Consider the following 19,055-nt stretch of genomic DNA (forward strand, 5'->3'; position numbering starts at 1 on the left):
TAAATTTTCCAAAGTTACTCCTATATAAGCTTTGGTACTGGGATTTAACACCTGGCATTATGGATCTAAAGTGTTGTGTTCTTGATCACATTTTCAAGTAAATACTTTTCCCTTTGGAAACTAAAAACGACGAGGGAGATAATAAAGGTTTGCTATCTAACAACTAATACCCACTTCATCTTAGTTAACTTACTAACCTCCCATCATTTGTCCACATATTAGAAGGCAATTTATAAGCGGAAATATAAAAATATAAGAGAACGATTTTCTGGGAGTCAAAAGTTTTCCATTATCATGTGTTTGTGTCTGTGTGTGTGAGAGAGAGAGAGCGACAGAGAGATAAAGAGGAGGAAGGAGAGGAGAAGAATTATAAGAGGAGAGGAAAGAAGGAAAAAAAAAACAGAAAAGAAGACAGAAGAAAGGTGAGGAGAAGCAAAGAGAGGTCCCTAACTTCTTTCATTCTGATTTGGTACAATACTGTGTACAATTGGACCCATGATAGCAATGTTCTATGACCACAGGGAGAGATGATATTATTTATGAGGGGAAATGCTATGTCGGGGGCACCAATTATTAGGGGGACCAGTCAATTGCCAAAGCCTCCAATTATGATGGGTATTACTATGAAAAATATTATGACGAATGCGTGGGCCGTGACGATAACATTATAGATATGATCATTACCTAGAAGGTTGCCGGGTTGACCTAGTTCAGCCCGCATAAGGAGGCTTAAAGCTGTGCCTAGGACCCCAGCTCAGGCACCGAACAACAGGTATAATGTTCCCATATCTTTGTGAATTAGTTGAGAACAATCAGCGGTTGGTGAATATAGGTGGGGGGCGGGGGGGCGTAAAATGGCTGAGTAAGGCATTAGACTGTAAATCTAAAGACAGAGGCTAAACCTCTTTTTACCAGCCCTGAGGTGATTATCATGTTGAATTGCAAATTCAAAGGAGCAACTTCAATCCTGCGGGGGCTTCTCCCACCTTTTTCTCCCCGCGGCGGAGAAGTAGATTGAAGCCACTTGATTAGGGTATTTAGCTGTTAACTAAATTTTTGTGGGTTTAAGTCCCGTTAATCTAGTAAGGGTTTAGCTTAATTAAAGTGGCTGATTTGCGTTCAGTTGATGCAGAGTAGGGTTTTGCAGTCCTTAGGTATTGCAGAAATTAAGTATTATTTACTTACTGAGGGCTTTGAAGGCTCTTTGTCTTGTTTAACCTAAGTTTCTAGGAGATAGATAAAGTGGGGAGATTGGTAGGAGGAAGGTGGCGAGGATGGTTAGTGGGGGGAGGAGTAGTATGGGTTTTGTGTTTTCAAATTGTCACTTTATTTTTACATTGTTGTACATGGGGAATAGTGTAATTGAAGCAGAGTAGATTAGGCGTATGTAAAAGTATAGGTTAAGGAGGTTATAATAGCTATAGCAGTAGGAATGGTAAGGTTATTATTTTTTGTAAACTCTTCATGATAATTCATTTGGGTAGAAAGCCAGTTAATGGGGGAGGGCCTCCTAGTGATAGTAGAATAGATGGGATCATGGGTGTTAGTCAGGTTAATTTGTTTCAGATGCGAGATAGTAATAGCGCTGTAGTGCTTGAGTTTAGGTTGAGTACTAGGAATGCGGTAGTTGTTAGAGTAATATATATGGCCAGGTTAAAAATGGTAATATTTGGGTTGTATATTAGCACTGCCATTATTCAGCCTGTATGAGTGATTGAGGAGTATGCTAGGATTTTACGTAGTTGTGTTTCATTAAGTGCACCTCAGCTGCCTGCCATGATAGATAAAATTGAAAGGGTAAGGAGAATATTTATGTTTACTAATCAGGAGATTTGATATATAATTGAAGTAGGGGCTAGTTTTTGTCATGTGAGGAGTAGGCCAACACACAGAGGGTGGTAGAGTGGAAGTTTATAAAAGACTTGGGCCCGTCCATGGGACCAATTATCTCTATAATTTCTAAAACATGAGGAACATAGGCTGCTGTTGTTTATAGCACCATTAATCAAGTGTCCTTTTACTTGCATCTGGAGAGACTCTAACATAGGTCTGAACACTGCTACTTTGTGCCGTCAGATACTGTGTTACAGAGACAGTGAAGAATTTAAGATGCAGAAGCAGATTGCCTTTAAAAACTTATGTGAGCATCTCAACCCACTCCTTACACTCCAGCTTCCTCAATTACAAAATGGAAATAATTATAGTAAATAATTTGTTTTTATTTTTATTATCAGCATCATATTCCTACCTTTATTTTTATTGTAATTATTCCTTTGTGGCTAAATTTTAAATATTCCTTTCTTGCCCTGATGTTTCATCTACATATTTCTAATCACCTTCACATTATACGTAACAGATTGCTGTTACATTGTCTTTAAACATTTTATATGCAAGTTAAATATGGAGACAGTTTTAAATCAGCAGATTATGGATGTCTGTTTGAAGGCACACAAGTGAAAAATTTCCACGAAAAGTCTTGATTGGAGAATCTAGAGATTGTTTAGTAAGTGATGGGATCCTGAAAACTAGCTATAAAGCCCAAAGAGAAATGACTGCTGAATAAAGATGTAGTTTCCCCAAATAGTAAGAATTAAACATCAAAGGCCACAACATTGCTATGAATAATTATATTGACTATGCAGAATTACACTGAACTAATTAAAGTACCTTGAGCCTTGACGTTTTCATTTTTGTGACAAGAAATGCTCGTCCCCTTATCTATGTTCACTAATTAGTGGTAAAATTTGCTGGTAAGAAAAATGTCATGCAATCAGTTCTGTCTGTGAAGTATTTCTCTTTGATATGGTTTTCTTCTGAACATTTTTACGTAACATCTTTTTTATCATAAAATTTAAATGGTTAAAATAAAATTGTTATTTCCACCCTAAAATAACAATAATTTAAAAATCTGACTCCTTGTCATCTACCCATTCAGTCTCGATTGCTTAGAGTCATTTAGTTTTTCTCTTCTTCATGCACCCTATCAGAATCGTTCTCAGAACTTTTCTTTTTCCTTTCAATCTCTGAATAACCTTCTTTAATTTCTACTACTACCACACTCAGATCTATATTACTTAATTCTTAAATTTACCACAAAAACCTCTACCTGCTTTTCCTTATTCTAAGCTCTGTACTCTCCAATTAAGATTATCCTTCCTAGTGTGACTTCCTCTCCTTGAAAGTCAGTTGAAACTTTCAGTCCCAGAGTTAATCTATCACAATTATAGAATACTTTAAATAGCAAACATATACCACCATATCTACCCTGACAGATGACCTCAACCTAACATCTTTCTGCTTGAATTATATAACAAAACAGGGTTGTCAGCCTCTGCACCACAGCTGATCCTCAGGAGACCCAGTCTCAGTTTCGGCCCTTCTCACTGCAGTTGCAGAATCTATTCCACCTGTGAAGTGACCTGCTGAGAAACAAGCACCCATCTGAACCAATGAGATGTGCTGGGGCTGAACAGCCTCTATGTAACAGCAGATCCTGAGGGGGACAGTCTCAGCTCTAGCCCTTCTTTCTGCAGTTGGGAAACCTCTCTGCCCCTGCAAGGAACTACTAGAAGGCACATCCATGTAGGCCATCTGGGCACACTCACTAGCTTTCATCCCACAGCACATCTTGGTGGTCCAGTCCTGGCTCAGGGTACTCTCTCTGCAGTCCCAACTGTGCAGAGTAATCCTGGGAGACACTCCAGTTTGGGCCCTGGGACAGGCTTACAGGCAAGGGTCCTGGCCAGCCTAGGTACCCTCCTTGTTCTTCCCCAGGTGATAAAACCCAGATGGAAGAACCATGCCAATCTCGGAGCCCTAGCAAGATTCACAATACACATGGGCTTAGAGCACCCTCCAGTGCTGAGACAGCTGCAGTGTCCGTGGGCTCATGGAACATAACAGTCTGCTTAGAACCTCTGGAAGACCCACCGAAGAAGGTCAGACACAAACAAAGCCAGAATATGAATATTAAAATATGGAATCCCTCCATGTGGAGAACATATTGCATGTCCATAAGCATAAAGAACTTTCAGAGAAATGTGACCTCACCAAACATACAGAATAAGGAGTCAGAGACTGACCTTAAAGGTATGAAGATATGTGATCTTGCAAACAAAGAATTCAAAATAGCTGTTTTAAAGAAGTTCAGTGAGTATCAAGGAAATACAGAGAAATTATTCAAGATTATCAGAGAAATTTATCAGAGATATTGAAATAATTTTTTTAAATTTAACAGAAATCCTGGAGTGAAAAATACAATGACTAAATAAATAATGCAATAAAGAGCATCAACAGCAGAATTGTTCAAACAAAAGAAAGAATCAGTGGGCTCAAAGACAAAATATTTGAAAATACACAGAGAAGAAAGAAAAAAGGATAAAAAAGAAGAGAAAAAGCTTATGAAATCTATGGTGCCACATCATAAAAGCAAATATCTGTGTTATTGGATTTCAAGGTGGAGCTAAGAAAGACAAAAGAGTAGAATTATTATTTCAAGAAATATTAGAAAGCTTTCCAAACCTAGAGAAATGTATAAATATCCAGGTCAGGAAAATCAAAGGTCAGTAATCAGATTTAACCCAAATAAGACTACCTTGAGACATAATCAAACGCTTAAAGATCAAAGACAAAGAGAGGGTCCCAAAATCTTCTGAGAGAAAAGAGGTAAAAAACATATAATGTAGCTCCAATACATCTGGCAGCTGACTTCTCAGCAGAAAACTTGCCAGCCAGGAGGAATCATTCAGAATGATGAAGAAGGGGAAAGAAGCTTCAACCAAGAATTCTGTACCCAACAGAGCTATCCTTCAGAAATGAAGAAAAGATAAATATTTTCCCAGACAACCAAAGTTGAAGTAATTCATTACTACTAGACATGTCATACAAGAAATAACGAAGGAGGTCTTCAAACTGAAAGAAATGCACACTAACCTGTTACAGAAAAACATTTGAAGGTAAAAAATTCACTGGCAAAACTAAGTATATAGACAAAATTAGACTTACTTTAATACTTATTCTAATACTATTTTAGTGTTATGTAAGCAATTATATAATTATATCTTTAGTTTGATGACTAAAAGACAAAATTATTAAAAATGATAATAACGACCCTAACTTATTAAGAGATAGGCATTATAAAGAGATGTAAAATGTAATATCCAAAATTCAAAATGTGGAGAGTCAATGCAATTAAAGAGGACAGGTGTTTTTGTGTGTTTGTGTGTGTGTCTGTGTGTGTGTGTGTGTGTTGGTTATTCCTAGCCTTACAATTAAAGTTAAATTGTTATCAATTTATAGTAACTTGTTATAACTATAAGATGTTTTGGTAAACTTTATGGTATGCACAAAGCAAAAAAATAACAAATACACTAAAATTAAAAAACAGCAATCAAAACACACTATTAGAAAAAACCATTTAACCAGAAAGGATGACAGACAGGGGGAAAAAAAACAATCTACAGAACAACTAGAAAATAAGAAAAAACAAAACCAGCAGGATTAAGTCCTTACCCATAACAATTATTTGAATATAAATGAATTAAATTCTATAATTAAGGAACATAGAATGGCTGAATGGATTAAAAAAATAAGACCCAGTTACATGCTTCCTATAAGAAGGTCACTTCACCTAGACACACATAAATTGCATGAATGTGATAAGATATTATGTGTAAACTGAAACCAAAAAAGGGGAAGAGTAGCTATATTTATATCCTATAAAACAGACTTTAAGTCAAAAGTAGTACAAAAGACAGAGAATGTCATTATGTAATGATAAGCATATATAATAATTTTAAGTAAACATGCATAAAACACTGAAGCACCTAAACATATAAAGCAAATATTAATAACCTACACAGAGATAAACCTCAATACAGTAATAGTAGCAGACTTTAACATCCCACTTTCAGCAATGGATGTATCATCCTGACAGAAAATCAACAAAGAATCCCCAGAGTTAAACTCTACCCTAGACCAAATGAACCTAACAGACATTTACAGAACATTCCATCTAACATCTGCAGAATATACATTCTTCTTACAGAAGATAAAACAGTCTCCAGGATAGACCATATGTTAGATCACAGAACAAGTTTCAATGAATTTTTAAAATGCAAAATTAAATTAAAATTTTTTTCTGATCACAATGGAATAAAACTACAAATCCAGAAACTGTACAAATACACTGAAAGTAAACAACATGCTCCCAAACAACCAATGTCTCAAAATTTTAACATTTCTTGAGACAAACTGAAGTGGAAACACAGCATACCAAAATCTATGGGATTACAGCAAAAGCATCTCTAAAGGAAAGTTCATAACAGTGAACTCTTACATCAAAAAGCAAGAAGAGGCCAGGTGCGGTGGCTCAGGCCTGTAATCCCAGCATTCTGAGAGGCCAAGGTGGGAGGATCACTTGAGGTCAGGAGTTTGAGTCCAGGGTGGCAACATCATGAAACACCGTCTCTACTAAAAATACAAAAATTACCTTGGCATGGTGGTGGGTGCCTGTAATCCCAGCTATTTGGGAGGCTGAGGCAGGAGAATCGCTTGAACCTGGGAGGCAGAGTTTGCAGTGAGTCGAGATCAGGCCTCTGGATTCCAACCTGGGTGACAGAGCGAGACTCCATCTCAAAAATAAAAAATAAAAATAAAAAAGTAAAAGAGCTCAAACAAACAAACTAATATTGTACTTCAAGAGTGGTGTGCGTCTAACTGAGTTGCTGAAGCAAGGACAGTATTCTCCCATGGCTATTGAAGAACAAGTGGCTGTTATCTATGTGGGTGTAAGGAGGTATCTTGATAAATTGGAGCCCAGCAAGGTTACAAAGTTTGAGAATGCTTTCTTGTCTCGTGTTGTCAGCCAGCACCAGGCCCTGTTGGGCACTATCAGGGCTGATGGAAAGATCTCAGAAGAACCAGATGCAAAGCTGAAAGAGATTGTTAACAAACTTCTTGGCTGGATTTGAAGCTTAAACTCCTGTGGATTCACATCAAATACCAGTTCAGTTTTGTCATTGTTCTAGCAAATTAGTTCCATTTGTAAAAGGGTTACTCTCATATTCGTTATGTACAGAAGTCACATGAAAAGTAAAGGTTCCATAATGGCAAAAAAAAAAAAACTAGAAAATTAAGATCAATGAAACCAAGCCCAACATTAGTAGAGGAAGAATATAATACATATCAAAGCAGAAATGAACAAAAAAAAGAAAAAAATACAATAGATTAATGAAATAAATAATTCATTTTCTAAAAGAAAAAAGAAAACTTTAGCTGGAAGCTAGACTAAGAAAAAAAGAGAGACTACTCGAGTATTAAAATCAGAGATAAAAAAATAAGACATTTCAACTAATACCACAGAAATATAAAGGATTATAAGAGACTATTATGAACAAATATACACCAACAAATTGGAAAATTCAGAAGAACTGAACAAATCACTGAACACATCCAACCTCCCAAGACCAAATTATAATGAAATAGAAAACCTTAACAGACTAATGATGAATAATTGTATTGAATCAGTAATAGAAAATCTCCCATCAAGTAAAAAAAAAAAAAACACAGGACATAATGACTTCACTGCTAAATTCTACCAAACCTGTATAGAATAACTAATACCAATTATACTCAACCTCTTCAAAAAAATTGAAGAAGAAGGAATACTTCTAAACTCATTCTACAAGGTCACTATTACCTTAATACCAAAACCAGACAAAGACATAGTAAAAAAGGCGAAACTACAAGTCAATATTCTCGACGAACACAGATGCAAAAATTCTCAACAAAAGAGTAGCAAACAGGATCCAAAAGCACACAAAAAAGATTATTCATTATGTTCAAGTGGGATTAATCCCAGGGATGCGAGGATAGTTCAAAATATGCAAACCATTAAATGTTACGTTAACAGAATGCAGGACAAAAACCACATGATTGTATCAATAAATGCAAAAAAGCCTGTGATAAAGTCCAATATTCCTTCATCATAAAATTCTCAACAAATTAAATATAAAAGGAATGTCCCTCAACACAATAAAGGCCTTATATAAGAAAAACACAGTTAGTGTCATACTAAAGAGGCAAGTGGAAAGCTTTTACTCTAAAATATGGAATAAGACAAGAATGCCCACTTTGATTACTTTTATTGAACATAGCACTAAGAGTCCTAGCCACAGAATTAGGCAAGAGAAAGAAATAAGGGACATCCAAATGAGAAAGAAGAAAATTAAATTGTTCCTGTTTGCAGGTGACATGACCTTATATATAGAAAATCCTATAGACTATACCAAAAAAAAGTTAGAACTAATGAATTCAGTAAAATTGCAGGATACAAAATTAACATACAAAAATCAATACCATTTGTACATGCTGATAATGAAAAAGAAATAAGAAAGCAACCCTATTTACAATAGTGGCCAAAAATATAAAATACCTAGGAATTAATTTAACTGAGAAGATAAAAGATCTCTACAATGAAAACTACAAAAAAATCTGTGAAATAAATAAGTAGAAAAATATTTTGTGTCATGGATTGAAAAAAAATAATATTGTTAAAATGTTCTTACTACCCAAAGTTATCTATAAATTCAGTGGAATACCTATCAAAATACCAATGAAACTCTTAACAAAAATAGGAAAAGTTATCCTAAAATTCATATAGAACCATAAAAGACCCCATATACCCAAAGTAATTTTGAGCAAAAAGAACAAAGCAGGAGGTACCACTCTACCTGACTTCAAAATATACTAAAACACTATAGTATCTATAACAGCCTGGTATTGATGTAAAAACAGACTAAAAATAGAACAAAATGAAACAAAATAAAGAGCCCAGAATTAATGCCATGTATATCCAACTGGTCTTTGACACGAGTGCCAAGAACGCACACTGGGGAAGAACAGTTTCTTCAATAAATGGTGCTGAGAAAATTGGATATCCATATGCAGAAGAATGAAACTATCTCTCGCCACTTAAAAAAATCAACTAAAATGGACTAAAGACATAAATGTAAGATCCAAAACTGTAAAACTACTAGAAGTTTTTAAGGTCTTTGCCAAAAAGCCACTTCCCAGACCAGTGTCCTAAACCGTTTCATCTAGTAGGGCAGCATCAATAATTTCTAATGGTTTTACCATCATTCTTCTTATTTCTATTTTTTCTTCTACTAGTTTCTACAACCACTGAAATCTGATTTCTATTACAATTTTACTGAAATCACTTTTGCTACAATCATTCACAATCTTCTGATTATTAATAGCCATTTTTAATTCCTTTATACTCTGTGGCCTAATTTGATGCTGATGATTTAATATCAACTTTTTCTGTATCTTTTTCTACTATTCTGGTCACTTGATTTTATTCTCCTTTATAAGCTATTTCTTCTATGCTCCATTTTACGATATGATAATTCCTAGTCTTCTTTATACCCTTTTGTTTTTAATATATCCTAGGAACTGGTGACCCACAAACATGTCAATGTACAAGAGCATTTTGTATTTCCACTCCTGTGTTTCTGATTTTCTATTAAATATATCCAAGTACATGCATCCAAAAGCTGTAACACTTGATAGTTCCAAAATGATTCCATCAATTTTTGCCAGCAGGCATGAGAAAGCAAACAATATTATAGAAAGATAAGATGGTCTATGTGGCCCATGATCCATGACTATGTGAATGTTATCTCCACTTCCTCAAATGTCAATGCCTGAAGCCTGAGCCTCCTCCTAAAACTCAAACTTTCCTCAATCTCTACAAATATAAAGTCAACAATGATTAAAAATTTTACTTCTTTTTTTGTACTTTTTTAATTTCCAACTTTTATTTTAAGATCCAGGTTACATGTGCAGGTTGTACAGGTTTGTTACATAGGTAAATGTGTGCCATGGTGGTTTGCTGCACCTATCAACCCATCACCTAGATATTAAGCCCAGCATCCATTAGCATTCTTCCTTATGCCTTCCTTTCCCCTTACCCCCGACAGGCCCCAGTATGTGTTGCTCCCCACCATGTGTCTGTATGTTCTCATTGTTCAGCTCCCACTTATGAGTGAGAACATGTGGTGTTTGGTTTTCTGTTCCTGTGTTAGTTTGCTGAGGATGATGGCTTCCAGCTTCATCCATGTCCCTGCAAAGGACATGACCTCATTCCTTTTTATGGTTGCATAGTATTCCATGGGATATATGTACAACATTTTCTTTATCCAGTCTATTGTTGATGGGCATTTGGGTTGATTCCATGTCTTGGTTATTGTGAATAGTGCTACAATGAACATACACGTGCATGTATCTTTAAAATAAAATGATTTATATTTCTTTGGGTATATACCCAGTAATGGGGTTGCTAGGTCATATGGTATTTCTTCTTCTAGATCTTTGAGGAATCACCACACTGTCTTCCACAATGGTTGAACTAATTTACATTCCCACCAACAGTGTAAAACTCTTCCTTTTTCTCCGCACCCTCACCAGCATCTGTTGTTTTTTGACTTTTTAATAATCACCACTCTGACTGGGGAAAGGTGGTATCACATTGTGGTTTTGATTTGCATTTCTGTAATGATTAGTGATGTTGTACTTTTTTTCGTATGTTTGTTGGCTGCATGACTGTCTTCTTTGGAGTAGTGTCTGTACATGTCCTTTGCTCACTTTTTCATGGGTTTTTTTTTCTTGTAAATTTGTTTAAGTTCCTGGTAGACTATGTATATTAGACTTTGCCAGATGGATAGATTGCAAATTTTTTCCCCATTCTGTAAGTTGTCTGTTCACTCTGATGATAGTTTCTTTTGCCGTGCAGAAGTTCTTTAAAAATGAATCAATATAAGCTACTTAATGCTACATTGCTGTATCTCTGCATTCCTCTGAATAGCTAACTCTTTGTAGTTTCTAATACTTTCATCTTCAGGACACCTCCCCCACCTTGTTTACCCTAGCACCTTAGCTATTATTACTTGTGTGCTATTCAAAAGGCAATTCTTCATTCGTCCTTACTTGTAATTCAGCTACAGTGAGCTGTCCCATACCTCCATTTCTCTGCTTTAGATTTTTGAAAATTAAAATTCCAATTACACACAAGAAATATCTATATCCTTCATAGGTAGCCAAGATATACACATCTATTTTTTCTTAGTTTTTATTTAAATGGCATTTCTTCCTACCTTTCCATTATAACAGATCTTGAACAATGCCCAGGGTAAGGGAAAAGCAATTATGAGTAGGATGAAAATATTAATAAACTCAAGATTGAAAATAAAACTTTTCAAGCTTCCCCATTTTTTAGATTAAATCATTTTCATTCAACAGGTATATATTTAGTAACTGACATTTACCAAGCACAGTACCAGAGCTAGGAAAAATAAATGCAAAGTGAACTGAACTGCACTTACACACAAATAAAAAAATGTAATGTAATCTGCTCTTTTTTTATGGTATCTCTTTACATACAGTCAAAACAGGCTGATATTGTAGAGTTACTTTCTTAAATTCTTATTTTTTATTTTTGTGGGTACATGGTAGGTGTATATATTTATGAAATACATGAGATACTTTGATATAGCCATGCAATGCACAACAATCATATGAGAGTAAATGGGCTATACATCACCTCAATCCTTTATCCTTTGTGTTACAAACAATCCAATTATACTCTTTTAGTCACTTTAAAATGTATAATTAAATTATTATTGACAATAGTCACCCTGCCATGCTATCAAAAATATTAGATTGTATTCATTCTTTCCATTTTTGGCATGCATTAACCATCCCCACATTCTTCACTATGCAACCCCTCCCAGCTGCTGGTAACCACCCTTCTACTCTCTATCTCCATGAGTTCAATTATTTTAATTTTTAGTTCCCATAAATAAGTCAGAACATGCAAAGTTTGTCTTTCTGTGCCTGGCTTATTTCACTTAACACAATGAACTCTAGTTCCATCCATGTTGTCGCAGATACCAGAATCGCATTTTTTATGGTACTCCATTGTGTATGTGTACACATTTTCTTTATCCATTTATCTGTTGATGGTCACAGCTTGCTTCCAAATATTGGCTATTGTGAATAGTGCTGCAATTAACATGGGACTGTAGATATCTCTTCAATATCTTAATTTCCTTTCTTTTGGGTTTATACCTAGCAGTGGGATTGTTGGGTCATATAGTAGTTATATTTTTAGTTTTTTGAGGAACTTCCGTGTTGTTCTGCACAGTGGTTGTACTAGTTTACATTCCCCCCAGTAGTGTATGAGGGTTCCTTTTTATCCATATGCTCGACAACATCTGTTATTGCTTTTGGATAAAAAACATTTTAATTGAGGTGAGATGATATCTTATTGTAGTTTTGCTTTTCATGTCTCTGATGATCAATAATGTTGAGCACCTTTTTATATACCTGTTAACTATTTGTCCTCCTTTGAGATATGTCTATTCAGATCTTTTGCCCATTTTTAAATCAGATTATTAGATCGTTTTTCTATATAATTGTTTGGGCTCCTTATATGTTCCAGTTGTTAATCCCTTGACAGATGAGTAGATTACAAATATTTTCTCCCATTCTGTGGGTTGTCTCTTCACTTTGTTGATGGTTTTCTTTGCTGTGAAGAAGCTTTTTAACTTGATATGATCCCATTTGTCCACTTTTTGTTTTGGTTGTCTGTGCTTGTGGGGAATTGCTCAAGATATTTTTGCACAGTCCAATGTCGTGGAGACTTTCTTCAGTATTTTCTTTCAGTGATTGCATAGTTTGAGGTCTTAGATTTATGTTTTTAATCCATTTTGATTTGATTTTTGTATATGGCAAGAGATAGGGGTCTAGTTGCATTCTTCTACACATGGATATCCAGTTTCCTCCTCACTATTTGTTGAAGAGACTGTCCTTTCCCCAATGTATGGCCTTGGCATTTTGTCAAAAATGAGTTCACTATAGATGCATGGATTTGTTTCTGGGTTCTCTATTCTGCTCCATCAGTTTATGTGTCTGTTTTTATGCCACTACCATGCTGTTTTCATTAATATAGCTCTGTAGCACAATTTGAAGTTAGGTAATGTGATTCTTCCAGTGTTGCTATTTTTGCTCAAGGTATGTTTGGCTATTCTGGGTCTTTTGTGTTTCCATACAAATTTTACAGGTTTTTTTTCTATTTTTGTAAAGAATATCACTGGCATTTTGATAGGGATTTCATTGAATCAGCAGATTGCTTTGGGTAGTATGGACATTTTAATAATATTGATTCTTCCAATCTATGAACATCGAGTATTTTTTCATTTTCTGGTGTCCTTGCCAATTTATTTCATCAGAGTTTTATAGTTTTCATTGTAGAGATCTTTCACTTCTTTGAATAATTTCATTCCTAAATATTTAATTTTATTTGTAGCTATTGTAAATGAGATTACATTATTGGTTTCTTTTTCAGATTGCTCACTGTTGGCATATAGAAATGCTACTGATTTTTGTATGTTGATTTTGTATATTGCAACTTTACTGAGTTTATCACTTCCAATAGTTTTTGTATGTAATCTTTAGGGTTTTTTTTAAATATAAGATCATACCATCTGCACACAAAAAAATTGGCTTCTTCCCTTCCAATTTGGATGTTCTTCATTTATTTCTCTTGTCTGATTGCTATAGCTAGAATTCCAGTAGTATGTTGAATAACAGTTGCAAAAGTGGGCATCTTTGTCATGTTTCAGATCTTAGAGAAAAGGCTGTTAGTTTTCCTCCACTCAGGATGATACTGGCTGTGGGTCTGTCATTGGTGGTTTTTATTATTTTGAGGTATGTTCCTTCTATATCCAGTTTTTGAGGGTTTCATCATGAATGGAAGTACAATTTTATCAAATGCTTTCTCAGCATCAGTTGAAATAATCATATGCTTTTTCCTTCATTCTGTTGACATGTTGAATCATATTGATTGATTTACATATGTTGAACCATCCTTGTATGTCTGGGATAAATCCCACTTGATCATGATGAAAGATCTTTTTAATGTATAGTTAAATTTTGTTTGCTCATATTTTGTAGAAAATGTTTGCATCAATGTTCATCAGGTATATTTGGCCTACTTTTTTAAAGACTGTCTGATTTTGGTATCAGAGAAATACTGGCCTTGTAGAATGAGTTTGGAAGTATTCTCTGTTTCTCTATTTTTTTAATAGTTTAAGTATGATTGATATTAGTTATTTCTTAAATGTTTGGTAAAATTCAGCAGTGAAGCCTTTGTTTCATGGGCTTCTCTTTGCTAGGCGATTTTTTATATGGTGTCAATTGTTATTCCTTATTGCTCTGTGCAGGTCCGTATTTCTTCATGTTTCAATCTTGGTAGCTTGTATGTATCTAGGAATTTGTCCATTCCATGGTATTCCAATTTATTGGCATATAGTTGCTCAAAGTAGCCTCTAATGATCTATTAAATTTCTGTGGTATTGGATGTAATGTGTTCTTTCTCATCTCTATTTGAGGCTTCTCTGTTTTGTTTGTTTGTTTGAGACGGAATTTCACTCTTGTTGCCAAGGCTGGAGTGCAATGGCGCGATCTCAGCTCACTGCAACCTCCGCCTCCTGGGTTCAAGCGATTCTCCTGCCTCAGCCTCCTGAGTAGCTGGGATTACAGGCATGTGCCACCACGCCCAACTAATTTTGTATTTTTAGTAGAGACGGGGTTTCTCCATGTTGGTCAGGCTGGTCTCGAACTCCCAACCTCAGGTGATCTGCCTGCCTCAGCTTCCCAAAGTGCTGGGGTTACAGGCATGAGCCACCACGCCCAGCCTGTTTTTTTTTCTTAGTTTGGATAAAGGTTTGCCAATTTTGTTTATCTTTTCAAAAAAGCTGCTTTGGGTTATACTGATCTTTTGCATTGTTTTCTTTTTTTCAATTTCATTTATTTCTGCTATATTTTAATTATTTCCTTTCTTCTACTAATTTTGAACTTGGTTTGCTCTTGCTTTTCTAGCTATTTAAGATGCATCATTAGGTTGTTTATTTGAAGTTTTTCTACTTTTCTTATGTAAGCACATATAGCTACAAATTTCCATCTTACTATTGCTTTTGCTGTATCCTATAAGTTTTGGTATGCTGTGTTTCCATTTTTATTTGTTTCAATACATTTTTAAATTTTTTTCTTAATTGATTCATTCACCTGTTAGTCATTCAGGAGCTTATTGCTTAATTTCCATGTATTTGTATACTTTCCAAAATTCCTCTTGTCATTGATTTATAGTTTTATTCTATCATGGTCAGAGAACATGCTTAATATTATTTCAACTTCTTTGAATGTTTTAAGACTTGTTTTGTGACCTAATATATGGTCTATCCTTGAGAAATGATTCATGGGCTGAGAAAACATCATGCATATTCTGCATCTGTTGGATAAAATGTTTTGTAAATATCTATTATGTTCACTTAGTCTAGACTGCAGAATAAGCCTGAAGTCTCTTTGTTGATTTTTTTGTCTGAAAGATCTGTCCACTGCTGTAAGTGAGGTGTTACAGCCTCCAGCTATTATTTTATTGAAGTCTATCTCTCTATTTAGCTCTAGTAATATTTTCTTTATATATCTGGGTGCTCTAGTATTGTGTGCATATGTATTTAAAATTTTCATATCTTCTAGATCACTTGAGCCCTTTATCATTATATAATGACCTTCTCTGTCTCTTTTCATAGTTTTTGTCTTGAAATCTATTAGTGATACAAATATAGCTACACTTTTTCTTTTTTGGTTTCCATTGGCATGGAATACCTTTTTCATCACTTTATTATCAGTGTATGTGTGTCTTGTTCCTATTTGGTTTTTTTTTTTAATCCATTCAGCTACTCTGTCTTTTGAATGGGTAGTTTAGTCCATTTACAGTCAATATTATTATTGATAAGTAAGGACTTACTCCTGCCATTTTTGTTATTTGTATTCTGATTGTTTTCTGGTCTTGTCTTCCTTTTTTGTTTTTCTTTCTTCCTGTCTTCCTTTTAGTGAAGGTGATTTTCTCTGGTTATGTTATTTAGTTTCTTGCTTTTTATTTTTTGTGTATCCTCTGTATTTTTTTAATTTGAGATTACCATGATACTTGCAAATAATATTCATTATTTTAATCTGATGATGATTTTACACTAACTGCACACACAAACAAACAAGAGAAAATGAATAACAACTCTACACTTTGTCTATTCACTTTTTAAGATGTTGTCCTTTGTATTTATATCTCCTTGTACTGTTTATGTCTTGAGAAGTTGTAGTTTTTATTTTCAATTGGTTCATCTTTCAGTTTTTCTACCCAGGATGTGAGTAGTTTACACATCACAATTACAGTGTTATAATATTCTGTGATAATATTCTGTGATTTTTTGCTTACCTACTATTACCTGTAAGTTTTGGACCTTCAGATGATTTATTATTGCTTATTAACATTCTGTTGTTTCAGATGGAAAAACTCCTTTTAGCATTTCTAGTAGGTCTGATGTGGTGTTGATGAAGTCTCTCAGCTTTTGTTTGTCTGAGAAATTTTTTATTTTTCCTTCTTTTTTGAAGAATATTTTCATTGAATATGCTATTCTACGGTAAAATATTTTTTTCCTTCATCATTTTAAATATGTCATGCCACCCTCTCCTGGCCTGTAAGGTTTCTACTGAAGTCTGCTGCCAGATGTGTTGGAGTTCCTTTGCATGTTATTCATTTCTTCTATCTTGCTGCTTTTAGGATCTTTTTTTTTGTCCTCAACCTTTGGGAGTTTGATTATTAAATACCTTTGGGTTAAATTTTCTTTATGTTCTATAACCTTCTTATACTTGAATATTGATATCTTGCTCTAGGTTTTGGAAATTCTATTTTATTATCTCTTTGCATGAACTTTCTGCTTCTATGTCTCTGTCTACCTCCTCTTTAAGGTTAGTAACTCTTAGATTTTCTCTTTTGAGACATTTTCTAGAACTTGTAGACATGTTTCATTCTGTTTTATTCTTTTTTCCCCTCTTCTGTCTGTGTATTTTCAAAGAGCATATCTTCAAAGTCACCAATTCTTTCTTCTGCTTGATCAGTTCTGCAGCTGAGATGCTGATGCATTCGTCAGTGTGCCAGTTGCATTTTCAGCTCCAGAATCTCTGCTTGATTCTTTTTAACTATTTCAATTGCTTTGTTAAATTCGTATGATTGGATTATGAATTCCTTCTGTATGTTATCTTGAATTTCATTGAGTTCCCTCAAAACAGCTATTTTTAATTCTCTGTCTGAAAGATCTATCTTTCCAGAATTGGTCCCTGGTGCTTTATTTAGCTTATTTGGTGAGATCATGTTTTCCTAGATGGCCTTGATGCTTTTGGATATTTGTCAGTGTCTGGGCATTGAAGAGTCAGGAATTTTTGTAGTCTTCATTGTCTGGGCTGATTTGTACCCATCCTTCTTGGGAAGGCTTTCCAGGTATTTAAAGGGATTTGGGTGAAGTGGTAACTTCAGTCACTCCAACTGTATCTGCACTACAGGGCACCTTTAGCCCAGTAATGCTTGGCTCTTGCAGACTCAGAGGTACTGCCTTGGTAGTCTTTTATAAGACCCAGAAGAATTCTCTAGATTATCAGAGAATTCTTGTTCCCTTCTCTTACATTCCCCCAAACTAATGATGTCTTTTTCTCTTTGCTGAGCTGCCTGGAGCTATGGGAGGGGCAATAAAAGGACTGCTGTGGCCACCACAACTGGGACTGCACTGTGTCAGATCTGAAGCGAGCACAGCCCTGAGTCTCATCCAGAGCCCATTATAACCATTGCTTGGCCAACATCTATGTTTGTTCAAACCTCAGCGCTCTACAGTCAGCAGATGGCAAAGCCAACAAGGCTTTTCTCTTTCCCTTTAGGGTGGAAAGTTTCCCCCCAGCCCAGGTAGGTCCAGGGAAGCCATCCAGAAGCCATGCCTGGAGTCCAGACCTTAGGAATTTACCTGGTACTCTATTCTACTGTGGTTGAGCTGACACACCAAAAGACAAAGTTATTCCCACTCTTTTTTCCCCTTTCCACAAGCAGAGGATCCTCACTCCACGGCCACTGCCACCACAGTTCCACAGGGAATACTGCCAGGCTACCACCAATGTTCAATCAAGGCCCAAGGTCCCTTCAGTCAGCTTGTGGTGAACGTTACCAGGCCTAGGTTTACCCTTCAGGGCAGTAAGCTTGCCCTCTTGTCCAGGAAAGGTCCAGAAATGTCATCCAAGAGCCAGTGCTTGGCACTGGTGACCCTAAGAGACCACTTGGTATTCTGCCCCATTGCAGCTGCCAGACAAAGTCACTTTACTCTTCTCTCTGCTTTTCTCAAGCAGAAGCAGTGCCTCCCCATAGCCACCACAGCTGTGAATATGATGAGTGACACCTGAAGTAAGCACCTCTCAGAGTGTCACCTAAGGCCCATGGCATGTACTAACTGACTAATGCTGCTGATTATTCAGGGCCCAAGGGCTCTTTAGTCAGTAAGGGATAAATTCTGTCAGAATGTGGTCTTTCCCTTCAAGGTAGTGGGTTTTCTTCTTGTCCACGGTATGTCTATAAATGTCTAGGAGCTAGGGCCTGAAATGGGTGCTTTGGGACTCAGTCCAGTGCCTCATTCTACTGTGGCTGAGCTGGTATCCAAGTTGCAAGACAAAAATCCATTTACTCTTCCTTCTCCTTTTCTCAAGCAGATGCAAGGAATCTCTTTTGGAGCTATGAGCTGTACTGCCAGGAGTTGGGAGAGGGGTGGCACAAAAGTACGCCTTTGGTCACTCCCAACTGGTGTCTCACTAGGTTACTTGTTCCCCACATCCACTGGCTCTGAGCCCCACACAGCACTAGGACTTGTCTAGGAGTTGCAGTTCTTGTGGCCTAGACTGCCTTTCTTTCTTTTTTTCTTTTTTGAGATGGAGTCACTGGACTGCAGTGGCACAATCTTGGCTCACTGCAACCTCTGCCTCCCAGGTTCAAGCAATTCTGCTGTCTCAGCCTCCCTAGTAGCTGGGATTACAGGCACAGGCCACCTTGTCTAGCTAATTTTTTTGTGTGTGTTTTTAGTAGAAATGGGGTTTCACCGTGTTGGCATGCTGGTCTCAAACTC

At 35.9% G+C, this 19,055-nt stretch overlaps 1 long non-coding RNA gene and 3 pseudogenes across 3 annotated transcripts, besides 1 other annotated feature; 2 read left to right on the plus strand and 2 right to left on the minus strand.

Moving 5' to 3' along the window:
* On the minus strand, positions 530-796 carry MTCO1P45 (MT-CO1 pseudogene 45; annotated as a pseudogene).
* On the plus strand, positions 699-19,053 carry LOC105373698 (uncharacterized). 3 transcript variants are annotated; one of them, XR_007088687.1, is made up of 4 exons: positions 710-772; positions 3,320-4,955; positions 17,620-17,854; positions 19,016-19,053. It is a non-coding gene; the product is annotated as an uncharacterized LOC105373698 (long non-coding RNA). The 3 variants fall into 3 exon arrangements; XR_007088686.1 differs by having other exon boundaries at positions 19,013-19,052; XR_923493.1 differs by lacking the exon at positions 3,320-4,955 and having other exon boundaries at positions 699-772; positions 19,013-19,052.
* Positions 969-1,263: a silencer, noted in NCBI's record as "tiled region #11721; K562 Repressive DNase unmatched - State 24:Quies". NCBI's record gives its function as "represses a minimal TATA promoter and a strong SV40 promoter by Sharpr-MPRA in K562 cells {active_cell/tissue: K562}" and the evidence as "EXISTENCE:reporter gene assay evidence [ECO:0000049][PMID:27701403]".
* Positions 1,235-1,895, minus strand: MTND2P20 (MT-ND2 pseudogene 20; annotated as a pseudogene).
* On the plus strand, positions 6,703-7,109 carry ATP5F1AP2 (ATP synthase F1 subunit alpha pseudogene 2; annotated as a pseudogene).
* Positions 19,054-19,055: the final 2 nt, after the last annotated feature.

This window comes from Homo sapiens, chromosome 2, assembly GCF_000001405.40.
Source record: "Homo sapiens chromosome 2, GRCh38.p14 Primary Assembly".
Classification (NCBI taxonomy): Eukaryota; Metazoa; Chordata; class Mammalia; order Primates; family Hominidae; genus Homo; species Homo sapiens.